Source organism: Homo sapiens, chromosome 2 (genome assembly GCF_000001405.40).
Source record: "Homo sapiens chromosome 2, GRCh38.p14 Primary Assembly".
NCBI lineage: Eukaryota > Metazoa > Chordata > Mammalia > Primates > Hominidae > Homo > Homo sapiens.
This window is the reverse complement of record NC_000002.12, coordinates 17,744,721-17,761,789: the sequence shown is the minus strand read 5'-3', so window position 1 is coordinate 17,761,789 and position 17,069 is coordinate 17,744,721. Positions and strand designations below refer to the sequence as shown.

Below are 17,069 nucleotides of genomic sequence, written 5' to 3'. Positions count from 1 at the left end.
AATTTTGCTCAGTGTCTCAGAGTTTCTACATACCAGTGCCAAGAATGAAACTCAGGTCAATTTCACTCTAAAAAATAAACTCTTTTCTCTAGGCACATCCCTGCTAGTCACAATAAAATTAATAAGTATTAAAGATGACAAACTATTAAGAGTAAAATGCACCCTTTAATTCAAATCGGAATTACTGAATCAAATCTGAATGCTCACCTCTCTTAAGACTGATTTAAAATGTGATCTCCCTGTTTTCTGAGACCACGATTTTCCAGAAGACCCATACCGAGACTGATTCCTCTTGCTTATGACATCAGCTTTCAGCTTTGGTGGTTCCCCTTCCATAACAAATACCAGTTTTACATCCATTTGTGTTAAATATGAGATACGAAAAAATAAGTTCCTGAAATATATAAATTAGTAATACATTAATCATCAAACACTGATAGTAAAAGTCAAAATAGTATAACACAAAGGCAAGAACATTAGACTAGTATCAAAAACGTTAATGTAATAACATTTTACTTAAGCTTTAATTAGAGTGGAAAACCACTGAATTTTCTTTTTCTTTGACAGAGTCTCACTCTGTCACCCAGGCTGGAGTGCAGTGGCATGATCTTGTCTCAGTGCAGCCTCAATCTCCTGGCTCAAGTGATCTTCCTGCCTCAGTCCCCAAGCAGCTGGGACTACAGGTGTGTGCCACCATGCCCGGCTAATTTTCTGTATTTTTTGTAGAGATGGGGTTTCACCATGTTGCCCAGGCTGGTCTTGAACTCCTGAGCTCAAATAATCCGCCCATCTCAGCCTCGCAAAGTGCTAGGAATACAAGTGTGAGCCACTGTGCCCGGCCAAAACCACTGATTTTTTTTTTTTTTTTGAGGTGGAGTCTCACTCTGTTGCCCAGGCTGGAGTGCAGTGGTGTGATCTCGGCTCACTGCAACCTCCACCTCCCAGGTTCAAGTGATTTTCCTGCCTCAGCATCCCAAGTAGCTGGGATTACAGGCATCTGCCACCACACCCAGCTAATTTTTTTTTATTTTTAGTAGAGATGGGGTTTCTCCATCTTGGCCAGGCTGGTCTCAAACTCCTGACTTTGTGATCCACCTGCCTCGGCCTCCCAAAGTGCTGGGATTACAGGCGTGAGCCACTGCACGCGGCCAAACCACTGAATATTTTTAAGCAAGAAAGATTTATGATTATTCTAATTGCTATGTGGAAAATAGTCTGGGGTAGGGGAGGCCAAGAGCAAGAAACTAGTGAAGATGGCACTTCAGGAGTATAGATGAGAGATGAGGTTGGCATAGACTGAGGTGGTGCCTCTGGACACTGAGATAAGTTTGTGAACACAAAGTATATTTTGGAGGTAGAACTGGCAAGACTTACTGACGGATTAGATGTGGAGAGAAGTAAAATAGGGAGAAAATGTCTCCCAAATCTCCGGCTTTTAGTATCTGAAGCATCCTAGTGGATACGTTAAGTAGGAGATAGCTATGTGAGTCTGGAGCTCAAAGGGTAAGAGGTACGAATGTGAGTCCTTAATATAAAGATGGTGAATCTAGACATGTTAAATAGATCTTAAAACCTCAAAATGTAAAAGAATAACAACAACAAAAGAAAAAAAAAGGTGAAACAAAATCAAGATACCAAGACTGTTTATACATCATACATTTATACTGTAAGAGCTTTTACTATACCTGAGGTGGGGCTTCATGACGCTGCCCATCATTTTTTTGACTGTCTGTGCCTCACACACCCAGAGACTCAGATCAACTGCAATGGTTTTCCCACCAAGATTACGCAAGGGGATGTGTTGCTTAACAGGCTCCAAAATTTGCCACAAGTCATTCACTCCCATTCTGGTGATTATCTGCTGTTATGTGAAACACACTTTACAAAATATTGTTAAAGAAACAGAAGCTCATAACAGGAATTCAAACAATATATTATAAGCCAGTTCAGGATAATTCATAGAGGATATTCCTTATTTTTTTCATCAGTCAGCGTTTCAAAATGAATTAAGAACACCTGAAACGTTAAAATGGCGGTAATTGGCTTTTTCCCAGCTAAAAACAAGAGCTAACAAAAGCAGAGATCGGTAGCGAATGCAAGGATGCTGTAAATCATTTTTGTCTACTTGAAAATTCACTCCTTGATTTACATACTTAGAGAATGGGACTAATTCTCTATCATACCCAGGAAAAAAAAAAAGAAAAGCAAGGAAGCATGCAAACAAACTAAAGAAAAATGGGGTTAATAAAGGAAAACTTAGAAAAGTGAGGGAAGAAGAAACGAGAGAAAATGAAGTTAGAGGAATACTGATGGACATAACTTTCTTAAAAGGGCGTTGGCTTTTTAAATTGCAAGGTCACATAATGTTCATTGTAGAAAAAGAAAAAAACTTTTAATCACTTATAACTTTTAACCACCACCCAAAGAAAACTAAAGTTAAACCTTTTTCCACGTACATGACATTTTAAAAACAAAATTGGCTTAAACTTTGCTACTATTATCTGGTTTGGTATTTTCTATAGGCCAGCTTTTCCTTATTATACATCTATATTTGGTTTTCTTTCCCTTTGTTATTATTTGGTAAAGACATTAAGTAGCATGTGCAATGAAAATTCAATCTGACGACACAAATACAACCCAGATTATCCTCTAAATAATGACCTTCATTCATTCCAGAAACACAAGGCAGGAGACAATAATATATTAAGTCAAAAGACTATCACCTTTATGCAGAAACCTTCTGAATAAAAAGTACTGTATTGTCTGTACCTTTAACAGAGTTCGTTCTAAAGGTAAATTTTCTCAAATTGCCCATGGGTGCAAAGAAAATAAATGCTGGAAGCGTTGCTGTCTGTGACTTACCCTGTTTTTCTGAACCTGAATTTTATAGTGTGGCCAGTGCTGCCATAAGTATTATTCCTTTTTTTTTTTTTTTTGAGACAGGGTCTCGCTCTGTCACGCTGGCTGGAGCGCAGTGGCGAGATCTCAGCTCAGTGCAACCTCTGCCTCCCAGGTTCAAGTGATCTGCCTGCCTCAGCCTCCCAAAGTGCTGGGATTACAGGCATGAGCCACCACACCCAGCCCTGCCATGAGTATTATTCTGTGTACTCATTTCTATGAAGTGTACAGTGACATCTATGGATGTCACTTTACAGATAAAAATATACAGACTTAAAGGTAAAGAAAGTATTTGGTAGTAACAGTGGCCCAGAATATTGTCTATTTCACATCCTGAAGCCCCACTGGTTGAATGTACCATTGTGGCATTAATTCAGTTACTGTGAAAAGTTGTGGTTAATTCTGGAAAAAGAGTGCAGTACAAATATTCTCAAAGTCATTATTATGAAGAGAAATGAGACAAATTATTAACCCATCAGAACACATTAAACCAAAAGTCTGAGAAGAAAGTTATTGACAGTTTTGCTTTCCTTTGTGACTCACGGTGCACACTGGAATAGATTGCTATCGAAGACAATTATGCAATTCCTTTGTTCTAATTTAATTTAAATGTGACCCTGACCCTAGCAGTCAAAATTTTAAATGCAGGTTATCTTCTGGTTTAGCAATATCTCTTCCAGGAACTTAAGATATGTTACGTGGTGTGTATGGATTTATACAACAATATTCACTGTAGCATTGTTTATAATAGTAGACACTGAGAAGAGCTAGGTCTCCATACAGGACTAATTAAGTAAATTATGGAATATTCAAACTAAATTAGATGATATAGCAAATAAATCAGTAGGATAGAAATACATGTACTAATAAAAAAACTGACCCAACTTTTAAAATGAAAACAGGTATGAATATGTTAGGGATGATTACAGTTCAGGGATGGCAAGAACCACTTTTCAAAACATATCCCTTTGTGTTGTTTCATTTTTAAAATACCATATGCCTGTATTACTTTTCAAATTAGAAAAAAGTTAAAAAATATGTGACCCTATTTATTAGGAGTTGGAGAAATAAACCAGAAATCTTTTTAGATGGTTTGCTTCTTGGCTAAATATTAAGTGACAAATTTAAATAGAATTCATGGGTCAAATTAAAAAGTACTGTTCTGCAAATTTACAAGTACTTGAATATTAAATACTACTTCAGTATAGCTTTTTGAGGGAAGAGAAATTCACATTTTCTGGTTTCCTTCAGATTGCCTAGAACTAGTCCTGTGGAGTTGGCCAGGGCACATATTTTCTCTGGCAACTTCCGGTTCTAAGGTTCAACATTCCTACCCTGTTTCTAATGATTCCTTTCGTAGGTTGACTACACATACACAAATGAATAGTAGTGAAGATTGCCACCTAGTGCAGTGATGTTTATGATGGCACACATAAACACACATTTATATATAGGACTGTGATGTTAACTGTATTCCTTCTGAGGGTTATGGTAAAAAAAAAAATAAAACAGCAATAAGGTAGACTCTTGATTTTATAAACTGCAGTCCTCTAAGTATTTCAAGTATATTAAGATCATTGTGTAAAGCTGTTAATTAAATATATTATTAACAGGGGGCAGCCATGCCTAAAAAAAAAAAAAAAAAGTCCAGCACTGATTCGATTATTGGAAACCCCTAAGCAAGATAAAGAGGGCTTTTAACCCCATAAATAATATCTTTAATATCACATGATTACTACAGTTAGAATTTAGTTTTTATTATTTCATTTCTTTTGTCGGAAACAAACCTGGTTTAAAGAATGATTAACCATGGTTAGTTCTGAAAGAGGAAAATTATGTGAAATGTACATTTTATTAGAAAGAACATCATAATATTTTAAGAACGCAATTAACTCCAAATCTCTGTTTCCATCATCAATTGTTTTCCATTCCTTATCACATGTTCTTTGCACCAGCTGTTCCGCGGAAGTGATATTAAGAAGCAATGGTTAAGACTGTAAAAGCATAAAACATTCCAAAAAAGGACAGAATGCAATAGCTTCTAAGATATTAAAGTACAACTACACTGAAAGATAGAACAGATGGTTCTTGCATGAGGTCATAATCAATGTGATGAGGTTATTTGAAAATGGCTCAGCATTAAGTAAAATTTAAAAATACTACACTAGCCGGGCATGGTAGCTCATGCCTATAATCCTGGCTCTTTGGGAGGTCGAGGCAGGCGGATCACCTGAGGCCAGGAGTTTGAGAACAGCCTGGCAAAATGGTGAGACCCCATTTCTATAAAAATAAATAATAAAAATTAAAAATACTACACCAAGAACTATGTATAATTTCATCTTGCTTTTTAGTTTTTTTTACTATGGTAAAATTTTAAATTTTTTTGGTGTGGGATTTGGTGAGTTCCCACTCAAATCTTTTATAATGAATAAGTATATTGATGTCAATCTGTTCATACAATCAACATATATATATCAAAAGAAGTCTAACATCTTCATAATTTTTTAAGAATTAGCTGTCACACAAGTCTACTTACATGAATCAATGATGTAAGAACAACACATAGCAAATAACTTTATAAACCTATTAATGGCTTAAATTGATTTAGCTTACTTATTTGAATCAACAAAGTCAGAACACATAGCAAACCACTTCATAAGCAATGGACTTCAGATAGGAAGCCTAGGATTTGGGTTTTGAATATACCACTGATTAGGTGTATGACCTTGGGAAGACATTTAACCGTTCTACAAAATGACAGGTATTAAACCAGATGCATTACAAGATTCTAATATCTGTAATCTAGTATTTAATATTTGAATTGCATGACCAACTGGTAGCATGGAATAAAAAAAAATCACTCTATTTCAGAAAGTATTGCTTGGTATAATAGAAAGAACATAAATTTCCATCTTAAAGGACTTAAGAATCCACTTCCAGTTAAAACAAAAACAAGTCCTTTGATGTAACCATATGGTGCCCATAAATCAATTTAAGTTCCTAAAACTTCCTTAAAAGCTAATAAGCTTTTATTGGTTAATTATAAAACTGAATGAGGTGAGAAAAACACAGAACCTTGTTAATTTCACTAATGAATCAAATTTAAAGAACATAAAGAGGTCAGGGGCTTAACTGATGCAAAAATACACACTTTATTAAAGCAAGTTTTGCAATTTAGTTCAGCTTTAAGAAAAACATTAGAAAATTTACTTCGGAAAAGCAGAAAATGCTTAAATTTCCCAATTTCCATTTAGATGAGTATATATTCATATAAAGACTGGTAAATGGTGAAAACTATTTCAATGCAAGATTATATTTTAAGGGATTTACCACATAATCTCAGTAACTAATGCTGTTCTTTAAAATTATTTTTTCAATTTTATTTTCATATGAATTTAGCCTAAACGTTGAGGCATACTTCACGTTTATCAATAAATACTTATTAAATGTCTACTATTTAACAGGAAAGCTTTATAGGTGCTGGAGATACAATAATGGAAGATCAAGCCCTGCATTTAAAGACCTTAGTAGGGTAAGTGAGACTGCAGATAAAAAGGGCTTAAGAGGTAAGAAAGCAAGCTATAGTTGTATTTAGGAAAAAAGGTCCCCCACTTAGGAATCAAGGAACGGTTCCTGAAGCAAGTGACATGTAAGTAGGGACCTCCCAACCGTGTTTCCCATTGGTTACAACAAGGCCAGATGTTTTGGTCTATTTTGACTATGTCATATTTTTCGTTGATCCATGGCAAGGGCCACAGTAGGAATATAATATATATGTGATTACTTTTAGAAATAAAAAGTGACTTTGATGTAAAGAATTCCATTACCGGAGGCCAGAATTTCAACATCAATTTATTTGGAGGTGGAGTGAGGTGGCAGTCAATGCATTATTTTCCCCACACAGAAGAGAAGATTTTGGAGTATGAAAAGTAGGTTACTTGTTAGGTCAGCATATTCATGGGAAGGGTTGTGTAAAGACTGAAGCGGGAGTGTGGGGTTGAGAAGGGCGCTGAAACCTAAGCCAAGGAAGTTAAGACTTCATTACTTCTGACGTTTATTTAGGGGGTTTACACTCTAGGTTACCGTGGGGGAAAGACTGATTGTAAATAACTACAATACCTTAAAGTAATTACTATAACAGAACTATATCCGAAATACAAGGTTAACACGGAAAAGGGAACACCCAACTGTGCCTATGGGGACCAGGGAGGGCTCTCCCGGGATGGCTTTGAGCGAGGCGTGGGAATTATCCCCATCGCATGCCCGGGGGAAGCACAGCGGGACCCAGCAGCTTCGGCCAAGCGCAAGCGGCCGGAGAACGCGCAGCTTTCCCGAGGCGGGGTGACGCAGGGCCCTCGCGAGTGGAAAACAGGGGCCAAGTCGCGGCCTGGCGGCTCGGTTCGGACTTCCTACTTTATTCAAAGGGAGTCATTGAAGGCGTTTTCGGAGGAGCAGCGAACAAAGAGCTCGTCCGTAAGCCAGATGGTCAAAGGAATCAGTGGGAGGACCCGGGCGGCGCCGTCTCTCCACGTCCCGCGGGACTTACCCGGACAACCCTTCCTCCTTGGCTCTGGAAGAAGCCCCTTCGTCATTTACCAGTTTGGCCTGAATCCTAACTACTGTGCCTCCAAATTTCTGAATTTTCTCAAAAGGAAAAAAAAAAAGGAAAGTCCTCTTTCTTTACCCAAGCAAAGACTAGCTCCCCGGGCTCAACCGCCAGGCCCAGGAGCACCAGGAAGCGTTTCGAATCCAGCGCCGGGCCCGCGCGGCCCCGCCTCTTCCGGGAAGTGACTGACCCCTTTCCCCCAATGGGGCCCGCTCGGCTTTCCCTTGCCGGCTCCCAGCCGGCCTAGCGGACGCATGCGTAGACCAGCTGCCGGGGGCGCTCAATTATCTTTCCCTTTTACTTAGGCAAATCACTCACCTCCCCCGAGTCCGGTCACTGCGGAGCCGCCCGTGCCTACCAGCTTCCCCCACCCGCTAAGGGGCACTTCCGGCCTCTCAGACTCCGGCGGCGCGAAACCCCGCAACTGCGCAGGCGCGGGCGGAGCCCGAAGGGAGGGAGGGCGGGGCGCAGGCGCGGTTAGTACCGCGGTGGGCGCCGGGGCTCCCGGGAATCTACCTTCTCCTGCGGCCGGCACGCGGTTCCCAGGGGGCCAGCGGCGGTCAGCCGAGGTCGAGACGCCCGCAGGGTGGCCTTAGCGGCCGGTCGTACCACGGCAGCCCCGCCGATCAGGTTCCTTTGGGAGACTTCGACTTGTTGGCGGTAGGGTGAAGGCGCGCGCTGTCGCTTTCCCTTGCTCCGGGGTTCATCCTCCGCCCGCTGCCCCCTTGGCTGGCGACCCCCAGCCACCCGGGAGAGGCAGGGTCAGCTGAGCTGCGGCGGTGTTCATGGTCGTCCTTGCGGGCCCGGGCGGGAGATGTCCGTTCCTCGGGCGGGTCGGGCGGCCGGCGGCACCTTCGCGCGCTCTCCGAGGCGGCACCGGTCTCCTGAGCCGCGGGAAACCTGGCGTCTGCTCCGGGCCGTCCCCTCCCAGGCGGCCGTCCCCTCCCAGGCGGCCGTCCCCAGACTCTCCCGGGCTGTGGCGAATAACTGTAAAGCGGGGAGAGGTCTGGGGAAAGCTGGGGTAGGGAGTGGCTCTTAGCATGAGTCTGATGATATCTCGCAGGCGGCAACTGGTGTGTTTAAAGGGTGTATGCAAAGATCACTGAAATCGGATTTGTCATTAAAGCCCAGTTTTACGAAAATGCAAATTGTATTACCTAGAAAAATTAACATGTGTTCAAAGGTTTACTGATGGCATTTCTCTGCCCTCATTTCTTACAGAAATGAACCGGAGAAGAATCCCAATTGGGAATTGCGGAAAACAGGACTCTAGGGTAGAGAAAGGTTGTAGAACCAATAGGGTTTGAGGTAATACTGTGAAAATTCTTAGAGCAATCATTTGGTGTTTGAGCCCTCAAGACAGAAGTTTTGTGAGCGCTTATTACTCTGCATATGTCACGAGTAGTAGATTAAAAGCCAGTGTTTTAAAGGCAAACTTCTCAGTAATATATATTCAAAGGAAAAAAGAAAAACCCAAATCTCCTGACTTTTATATGGTTGCAGTGTGATCTTTTAACATGTACAATAGTATATACAGTGGCATGCAGTTTGTTCCATGGGTGTGTGGGTAGAGAGGGAACATATTAGAACTTCTATTTAGATTTATTTCATTTGATTTCTACGTGAAACATAGGGTATTAATTTTATGTTGGAACATGTATTTCAAATTTCTTTTGCTTAATGGGTGCAAGTACAAAACGTTTGGAGGCCACTAGTATATTGCCTAAAAGCGTGTATTTATATCACAAAAAGCCAGAATTGTGTGACTCTGAGCAGGTTGGTACCACCTCTTTAAGTTTCAGTTCTTCTTATGCAAGTTGGAAGAAATAATACAGTTATCAGTGCATCCTCTGTATCCGTGGACTCAATCAAGGGACTGAAAATATTTCAGAGGAAAAAAAGTGGATGGTTGCACAGACTTTTTTTTGTTCTTGTCATTATTCCCTAAACAGTACAGTATAACAACTATTCACATAGCATTTGCATTGTGTTAGGTTATATAAGTAATCTAGAGATAACTTTTAAGTATGTGGGGAGGTTATATGCAAATATGACACCATTTCATATAAGGGACTTGAGCATCTGTGGATTTTGGTATCTGAGTGAGAGAGAGGGGCTGTCATTTTGGAACCAATTCTTAGGGATTGACTGTACCTAGCTGACAGGATTCTTAAATATGTGGACACAGAGAGGAAGAGAAAGTTATGTAGTTATATATCGACATCTGTCTGCAATCCGTATAAACCAGTTAGTATTGAGCCTGGCAAAAAGTACACAAGTCATGTTAAAGGTATTACAGTGAAAAACAAGTTTTATTCCCCAAAGGTTTATTTTACTGAGTGTATTTTACTGAATCTGTAGAATTTTATGTAAAACCTACCTAAATCTTGACTGTCATTTTTAGACCAAAGTTAGGAAAAATAATTAAAGCTGTACTTGGCTTACTTTTAGGAATTAGTAAGTAACTCAAAATTTTACCGTGATAGCTTGCATTATATTTAAGACACAATTAAATGCCATAGTTCTTTATACACAACGATAAGTCCAGCTGACTGAGGGTCAAGCGTAGTTGCTTAGGTTAATGTTAGCATTTTTGATTCACTATTTAAACAAGTTAACATCTTTTCTCTCTGAGCATGCTTTTCTTGGTCACCAAATTCAAACTACTTCCAGTAGCTTCCTTAGCTCCACCCACAAATCTTTCTCCATTGCAGAGTATCCTTTACTACTGACTGGCCTCTATCTCAAAATACCTTAGGAGCACTTGAAACTCAGTGTTTTCTTTCTTTCTTTTTTTTCCTCTTTTTTTTTTTTTTTTGTTTGAGACAGAGTTTTACTCTTGTCGCCGAGGTTGGAGTGCAGTGGTGCAATCCTGCCTCCCGGGTTCAAGCGATTCTCCTGCCTCAGCCTCCGGAGTAGCTGGGATTACAGGCATGCACCACCACACTTGGCTAATTTTGTATTTTTAGTAGAGATGGGGTTTCACCACGTTGGGCTGGCTGGTCTTGAGCGCCTTACCTCAAGTGATCCATCCATCTCGGCCTCCCAAAGTGCTGGGATGACAAGGCGTGAGCTACTGAGCCCAGCCCAAACTCAGTGTTTTCAAATAAAATAAATTTCATTCTCCCTACTTGCCAAACCTGTTCCATGAACTTATAATGGCATTTAGTATTAAGTGTGAAGATGAAACACAAAATGAAGTTTTATAAAGCACACCCAAAGTTTTGATTGACTTTAATAGTAACATTAGAGAATCTTTTTTTTTTTTTTTTTTTTTTTTGAGACAGCTGTTCACTCTTGTTGTCCAGGCTGGAGGGCAGTGACATGATTTCGGCTCACTGCAACCTCTGCCTCTCAGGTTCAAGTGATTCTCCTGCCTCAACCTCCTGAGTAGCTGGGATTACAGGCATGCGCCACCAAGCCCAGCTAATTTTTTTTTGTATTTTTAGTAGAGATGGGGTTTCACCATGTTGGCCAGGCTGGTCTCGAACTCCTGACCTCAGGTGATCCGCCTGCCTTGGCCTTCCAAAGTACTGAGATTGCAGGCATGAGCCACCCGCCCAGCCAATAATAGAATCTTTTTTTTAAGTTTAATGAAGGATAGACGAGATGAAGGACAGATTAATAGCCAATTTCACTCTCTATGAATAATTAACTGTCAAACTTCAGTTTATGCCAGTAGGAACCTGGGCGTTAAAGAGGTTTAACTGGGTTTTGACAAACCTGGATTTGGATCTGAGCTCTGCTATGTTAGAGCTATAGAAGCCTTTGTATGTTAGAACTAAGTTGTAGCTACATAAATTCAAGTCATTTACTTGTGCCTCAGTCTCTCCTTTTGTAAAAATAAGGGCAATATTTATCTCATAAAGATGTTGGGGATCAAAGGAAATAGAAAGTGTTCATCTCAAAAGCTAAGTATGTAGTTATTCAGCAGATGTTAATTCTACTCACCCATTTGTACTCACCAATTCTACTAATTCAGTCTTTTAAATCTCTTGTTTTATCTCTTCCCTTTGTCCCTGATATTACCACTGCTTTTGTTTAGCAACTCATCTCTTCTGCTACTATTCTTACTTTCTGTTTCATCTATCTTCTATATTGAGCCACAGGATGTTTTCAGTACAGAAATCTAAGTGTTCAGATTTTATTAACTGAAATGCTGTGCTTTATACTTCCCGGTTTTGCTGATCCTGAAATTTTAGATGGGTGGACTTAATGAATAAGTCTCATATAATTTCGTGATATATTCCAAGCAGTGTACTTAATTAAGCACATTCAAAATGAAGTTGTTTACCATAGAATAAATGTCTGTTGTGATAGGCAGAGTAGAATTGAGGATGTGGTAAACACAGGCCAGGGCAGATTCAGAAGTAGTAGTAATTTGCCTTTTTAAAAAAATGATAACACTTTTTTATTAAATTCTAATTCTGTTATGTGTGTCACTACTCTTAGTTCCTAATTTGGTATTAATAGGAAATATGAATTATTATATACTTAATAAAATTTAGAATTCTGTTAAAATGCATGATCTCTATCAAATTTCCTATGCATCTACATGCAATAATGAACTCTTGGTTATTAATTTTTTTTTTCTTTTTGAGACGGAGTATCGCTCTGTCACCCAGGCTGGAGTGCAGTGGCACAGTCTCGGCTCACTGCAACCTCCGCCTCCTGGGTTTAAGCCATTCTTCTGCCTCAGCCTCCTGAGTAGCTGGGACTATAGGCGCGCGCCACCACGCCTGACTAATTTTTGTATTTTTAGTAGAGACGGGGTTTCACCATATTGGCCAGTCTGGTCTCAAACTCCTGACCTCGTGATCCGCCTGCCTTGGCCTCCCAAAGTGCTGGGATTACAGGCGTGAACCACCGCGCCCGGCCATTAATTTTTCTTCTTGAACTTATTATTTTATTGATAATCTTCATTGTTCCTGCTTGTATCCTGTAAGGGAGAAATGAGGTGTTCTTTAATTCTGTTTTTTTTAAATTATAAATAAGTAAAGAAATATTAAAAACTATGACGAGCTTTATGGATAAATTGAAAATCCCAGAGGAGGCTTTTTTCTCCTTTTTTTATTCCAGCATAATTAAAATATTTTTCTTTGCATCTGTAAATATGTTTCTTTAGCCTTTTGGAAACAATTTTACTATTTTAATCTGTATCTGATGCTCTAGACATTCGAATCTGTGTTTGAAAATCCATCATCATTAAATTACAAAGTGATTCCTATTTTAAAAGGTAGGATCCTTCAGTGTCTGTTAGATGCAAGTTACCGTGGCAACCTAATAGCAAACTGCAAATCCCAGGTCATGCTCAGCAAATAAAAAACATTCTCAGCAAATAAAAAACATCGTCATCACGTAGTGTTTGGGTGTACTGTCTTCTATATAGAATCTCACATTCCTTGTGAGAAGCGTATCACATTTTCCCTAGTGCGTTATCCATTAGCTTATGTCTGAGTGCTTGCTAACTGCATGATCATGTGTTAGGCATTAATAAAAACAGTTTCTAAAAGGGCATTAAATGTTGGGGACACCAAAAAGTAATGCTTTCTGTTTGCTCTTCTATAATAAATAAATTACTGCTCAGTAACTGAGAAGGGAATAGAGGGTGGTTAGCAGAGAAGAAAGTGTTGGAAAAATAATGGCCTGGTAGTATCTCAGGGAATTTAAATTAATAATAAACTGAAACCGATCTATGTTGATTCTTATTAAATATTTTGAAAAATATTTTTGATTTTAATAACAGTTTCAAAACATTAAATAATTTGTAAAAATGAAGCTGAATATTATGTAGCTGTAACTGTAATGGTAATATTGTCTTAAAAGGCATTTGTTTAGGTTAAATATCCTTCTTTGGATGGTAAGTAATGTACCCTTTAAATGGTATTCGACTTCATAATATATAAGGTTCTTCATTGACTTCAGGATAGGATAAAGTCCCAGTTATTTTCCATGGTTTACATAACAATTCAACTCTAATGTGCATGTGAATCACCTTAAGTCTTGTTAAAGTGAAGATTCTGATTCACTTGCTCTAGGGTGGGGCCTGAGATTCTGGATATCTGATAGGTGGATATCTTCCCAGGAGATGTAGATCTTGCTTGCCAGTCCTTGGACCACACTTTAAATATGAGGAGTCTACAAGTCCTTTTGTGGTCTGTTTCTTCCCTAATGCTCTAACTTTATTGCTTCCTAGCTGTGCCTTATAATTTATGACACTGTATCATGGACTTGCTTTTAGTATCCCCCTGTAGCTGCACTTTGCAAAATGTGGTGCAGGAATCCATGAGACTCTTGCAAGGGATCTACAAGGCCAAAACTGTTTTAATGATAATAGTAAGATGTTATTTGCCCTTTTCACTCTCATTCACTTATGAGTGTACAGTGGAGTTTTCCAGAGGTTACATGGCTTGTGAGATGTCATTGCTGTGACTGATGGAATATATACTGTGTGTCCCTTGTTTTAAAAGTTGCTCAGTTTTGGCCAGCCGTGATGACTCACACCTATAATCCCAGCACTTTGGGAGGCCGAGGTGGGCAGATCACTTGAGGTCAGAAGTTCGAGATCAGCCTGGCCAACATGGCAAAACCCCATGTCTACTAAAAATAAAAAATTAGCTGGGCATGGTGGCACGCACCTTAATCCCAGCTACGTGGGAGGCTGAGGCAAGAGAATCGCTTGAACCCAGGAGGTGGAGGTTGCAGTGAGCTGAGATTGTGCCACTGCACTCTAGCCTGGGAGACAGAGCAAGACTCCATCTCAAAAAAAAAAAAAAAAGAAAGAAAAAGAAAAAAAGTTGTTTAGTTTTAATTTCTAATATAATAAATATTGATAGACATAAGCAAAAGCTCTTTGAAGTCCTTTGTAAAAGAGATTACAACCTTTGAGAACTGCTTCCCTCCATATTGGACTGCGGACAAAGAGACTCAGATCTGGAACTTGGAGCTATTTCCTTAGCCACAGCAACTGCTAGGCTAGGGTGGCAGTTTCAGTTTCCCATATGGTCTCCAGTGACACTGCAGTGGGAGTGGTCTTCTCACCTCTGGGCAATGGGAAAAGTCCCGACTTTCCACTAGGCCTCCTTTGATACTAGCCAACTAGGAGAAGGAGTAAGTAACACCGTATTACTTCCTGTATGGGTGGAAATCTAGGCTCTCTAGGTGGTCTCCGCTGACACCATTATCATGGCTCCCTACTTGTCTACATAGCCTTTGACTCTACCCCAGTTAGGGTGTTGAGATGCCACCTTGTAGCCTCACTAGGGTGGAAGTCCAGACTACCCACTTGGATTTTGCTTGCATGGGTAGGGGAGCCAGGTATATACATGGTATGGAGAGGGTTGCTGTGGTCTAATATTTGGGGGATTTCAGTACATTGAGCCTAGAACTGTTCCTCATATTCTTATATCTTAGAAATTTTTGATTATGTTAGAGATTTTTGTCTCCTTTTAGCAAACAATTAAATTAGATACCTATCATTTTAGGTCTTAAATGTACTCTAAAGGAAAAAATGAAAGCAGCAGTCAAAGAGGTCATAAAGTTTAATTTTAATCATAAACTATCAGCTTTGACTGGAGATCCAGTATTCATATGTTTAGCAAAATCATGTGTAATTTAAAAGATGTTAATTTTCTAGGTTTAAATTTTGTAGTATATTGGCAAAAAATAGACAATCAACCTGGACTTTTTTTTTAGGGAAGAGTTAAAGGAAACCACTGGTGCTAAGCAATGTGCTTCAAAATATGATTCTTTGGGAAAACAACTTAAAAATTAAAAGTTTTATCTGATTACTTTATAACTTGTGAAAATTGTGCATTGCTTTGGAATAATTTCAGGAGTCACCATGCCATCTCTATGAATAGATTTAGAAAACTAGAAACCACAATTTCACAAAATCTTTTACCTTTTGTGAGTTTAGTAGTCACAACATTTAGGTAGGCTTATACTGATAAAATCTTGGCTATGAATACCTCTGAAGTAAAATCAACTAGTATAGAATATGCAGATGTTAAAGCAATACAAACTTACTATCTTACGCTTCTGTGGATTAGAAGTCCAACACAGATCTCACTGGGCTAAAATCCAGATGTCAGTAGGGCTATGTTCTGTTTTAGGGCCTCTAGGGGAAAATCTATTTCCTTGCCTTTTCCAGCATTTTTTGACTCATGTCCCTCTTCCTTAGTGCAAGATGCAAGACTAATTTACTTTAATTTTTAAGGTAAAAATGGATGGACATAGTACCTAAAGTTTAATTAGCCTTGTTAGATTTATTTTGTTGAGTTTAATATATATGGAACTTGATTTACCTCATTGTTACTATAAATATTTGTTCAGACCTGATGGCCAAAAGAAAGGAAGAAAATTTTTCCTCTCCTAAAAATGCCAAAAGGCCAAGACAAGAAGAATTGGAGGATTTTGATAAAGATGGTGACGAAGACGAATGTAAAGGTACTACTTTGGTAAGCGAAAAATTACAAAATTATGCTTTTTGATATGTTTTTCTTGTAACATTCATCATATCACATTCTGTGATAACTTAAAATCAAGAAAAAGTAATATGATTTTTTAAAAGTTGAGGTAAAATCTGTTCTGGGTAATTTTGAAGCTTATGTTAATTATTAGAAAAATTAATAGAGAAAATAAAGAACTGAATGTATAGAAATGTGAATAAAATTGACAAACTTTTAGTAAGACCAAGAAATGCAAAAAGAGAAAAGACACAAATTACCAATATCGGGAATAAAATAAGGGCTATCCACAGACCCTGCAGACATCCAAAGGGTAAGGAAATACAGTTAGCAACTCTACACACATAAATTTGACAACTTAGGTGAAGTGGACCAATCCTCAAAAAGGAAAAATTACCACAAGTCACCCAGTACGAAATAGATCATCTGAATAGCCCTATAACTACTAAGGAGATTTAATTCATATTTTTAAATTCCTATAAAAGAAATCTACAGGCCCAGTTGGTTTCACTGGAGAATTATACCAAACATTTAAAGAAGAATTAACATGAATCTACACAGTCTTTTCCAAAAATCATAAGAGAACACTTTTCAATGTATTATCTTGATGCCAAAACCAGACAATGAGGGACCCCCAAAAAAGCAAACTGTAAAACCAGTATACCTAATAGATATGGTTGCAGAAATGCTGAACAAAATATTTGCAAGGAGAATTCAGCAATGTAGTTGTTACTTGGTATTCAAGCAGGATTGGTTCACAGGACTCCGCTTCAGACCAAAATCCACTGATGCTGAAGTCCCTTATAATCTGCCCTGAGTATTCACATCTGCAGAACCCGCAGATAGGAAAAGCCAACTATATGTAAAAAGAATTATACGTCATAATTAATGGGTTTATTTTAGGTATACAAGCCTGATTTGGTATCCAAAAATCAATCATTGTGATTCACCATGTTACAGGCTAAAGAAGAAAAATCACATGATTATATCACTCAGTGCAGCAAAAGTGTTTGATAAAATTCAACACCTGTTCATGACTAAAACTCTCAGAAAAATAAGAATAGACTGGAACTTCCTCAACCTGTTAAAGAGCACTC

General features: G+C 38.8%; 2 protein-coding genes across 24 annotated transcripts in view, besides 3 other annotated features; one reads left to right on the top strand and one right to left on the bottom strand.

Annotated features, from left to right (window-relative positions):
• The window catches only part of GEN1 (GEN1 Holliday junction 5' flap endonuclease), a 35,669-nt gene extending 27,157 nt beyond the window's left edge, over nt 1-8,512 (bottom strand). Inside the window, exons 1-3 of one of the 8 annotated variants that reach the window (XM_011532822.3) lie at nt 8,021-8,512; nt 1,686-1,861; nt 208-394 (exon numbers count right to left, since the gene is read on the bottom strand). In XM_011532822.3, coding sequence (XP_011531124.1) covers nt 208-394; nt 1,686-1,846 — 348 coding nt within the window. In that variant the 5' untranslated portion in view covers nt 1,847-1,861; nt 8,021-8,512. Of the gene's footprint in view, nt 1-207; nt 395-1,685; nt 7,653-7,822; nt 7,922-8,020 lie in introns of those variants that run through there. The other 7 variants (XM_011532820.3, NM_182625.5, XM_006712005.4 and 4 more) reach the window with 7 other exon arrangements.
• Nucleotides 7,865-8,004: a silencer, noted in NCBI's record as "silent region_11190". NCBI's record gives its function as "represses an Ori minimal core promoter by ATAC-STARR-seq in GM12878 lymphoblastoid cells {active_cell/tissue: GM12878}" and the evidence as "EXISTENCE:reporter gene assay evidence [ECO:0000049][PMID:35858748]".
• Nucleotides 7,980-17,069, top strand: part of SMC6 (structural maintenance of chromosomes 6) — an 89,999-nt gene continuing 80,909 nt past the window's right edge. For 5 of the 16 annotated variants that reach the window (XM_017004916.3, XM_011533108.4, NM_024624.6 and 2 more), the window contains exons 1-2: nt 7,980-8,164; nt 15,839-15,963. In XM_017004916.3, the coding sequence (XP_016860405.1) occupies nt 15,844-15,963 (120 nt within the window). In that variant the 5' untranslated portion in view covers nt 7,980-8,164; nt 15,839-15,843. Of the gene's footprint in view, nt 8,813-10,785; nt 15,964-17,069 lie in introns of those variants that run through there. The other 11 variants (XM_047445838.1, XM_047445836.1, XM_017004915.3 and 8 more) reach the window with 3 other exon arrangements.
• Nucleotides 8,145-8,504: a silencer, noted in NCBI's record as "silent region_11189". NCBI's record gives its function as "represses an Ori minimal core promoter by ATAC-STARR-seq in GM12878 lymphoblastoid cells {active_cell/tissue: GM12878}" and the evidence as "EXISTENCE:reporter gene assay evidence [ECO:0000049][PMID:35858748]".
• Nucleotides 13,222-13,905: an enhancer, noted in NCBI's record as "OCT4-NANOG-H3K27ac hESC enhancer chr2:17929152-17929835 (GRCh37/hg19 assembly coordinates)". NCBI's record gives its function as "activates a minimal SCP1, AML or CMV promoter by ChIP-STARR-seq in primed H9 embryonic stem cells {active_cell/tissue: H9 hESC(primed)}" and the evidence as "EXISTENCE:reporter gene assay evidence [ECO:0000049][PMID:30033119]".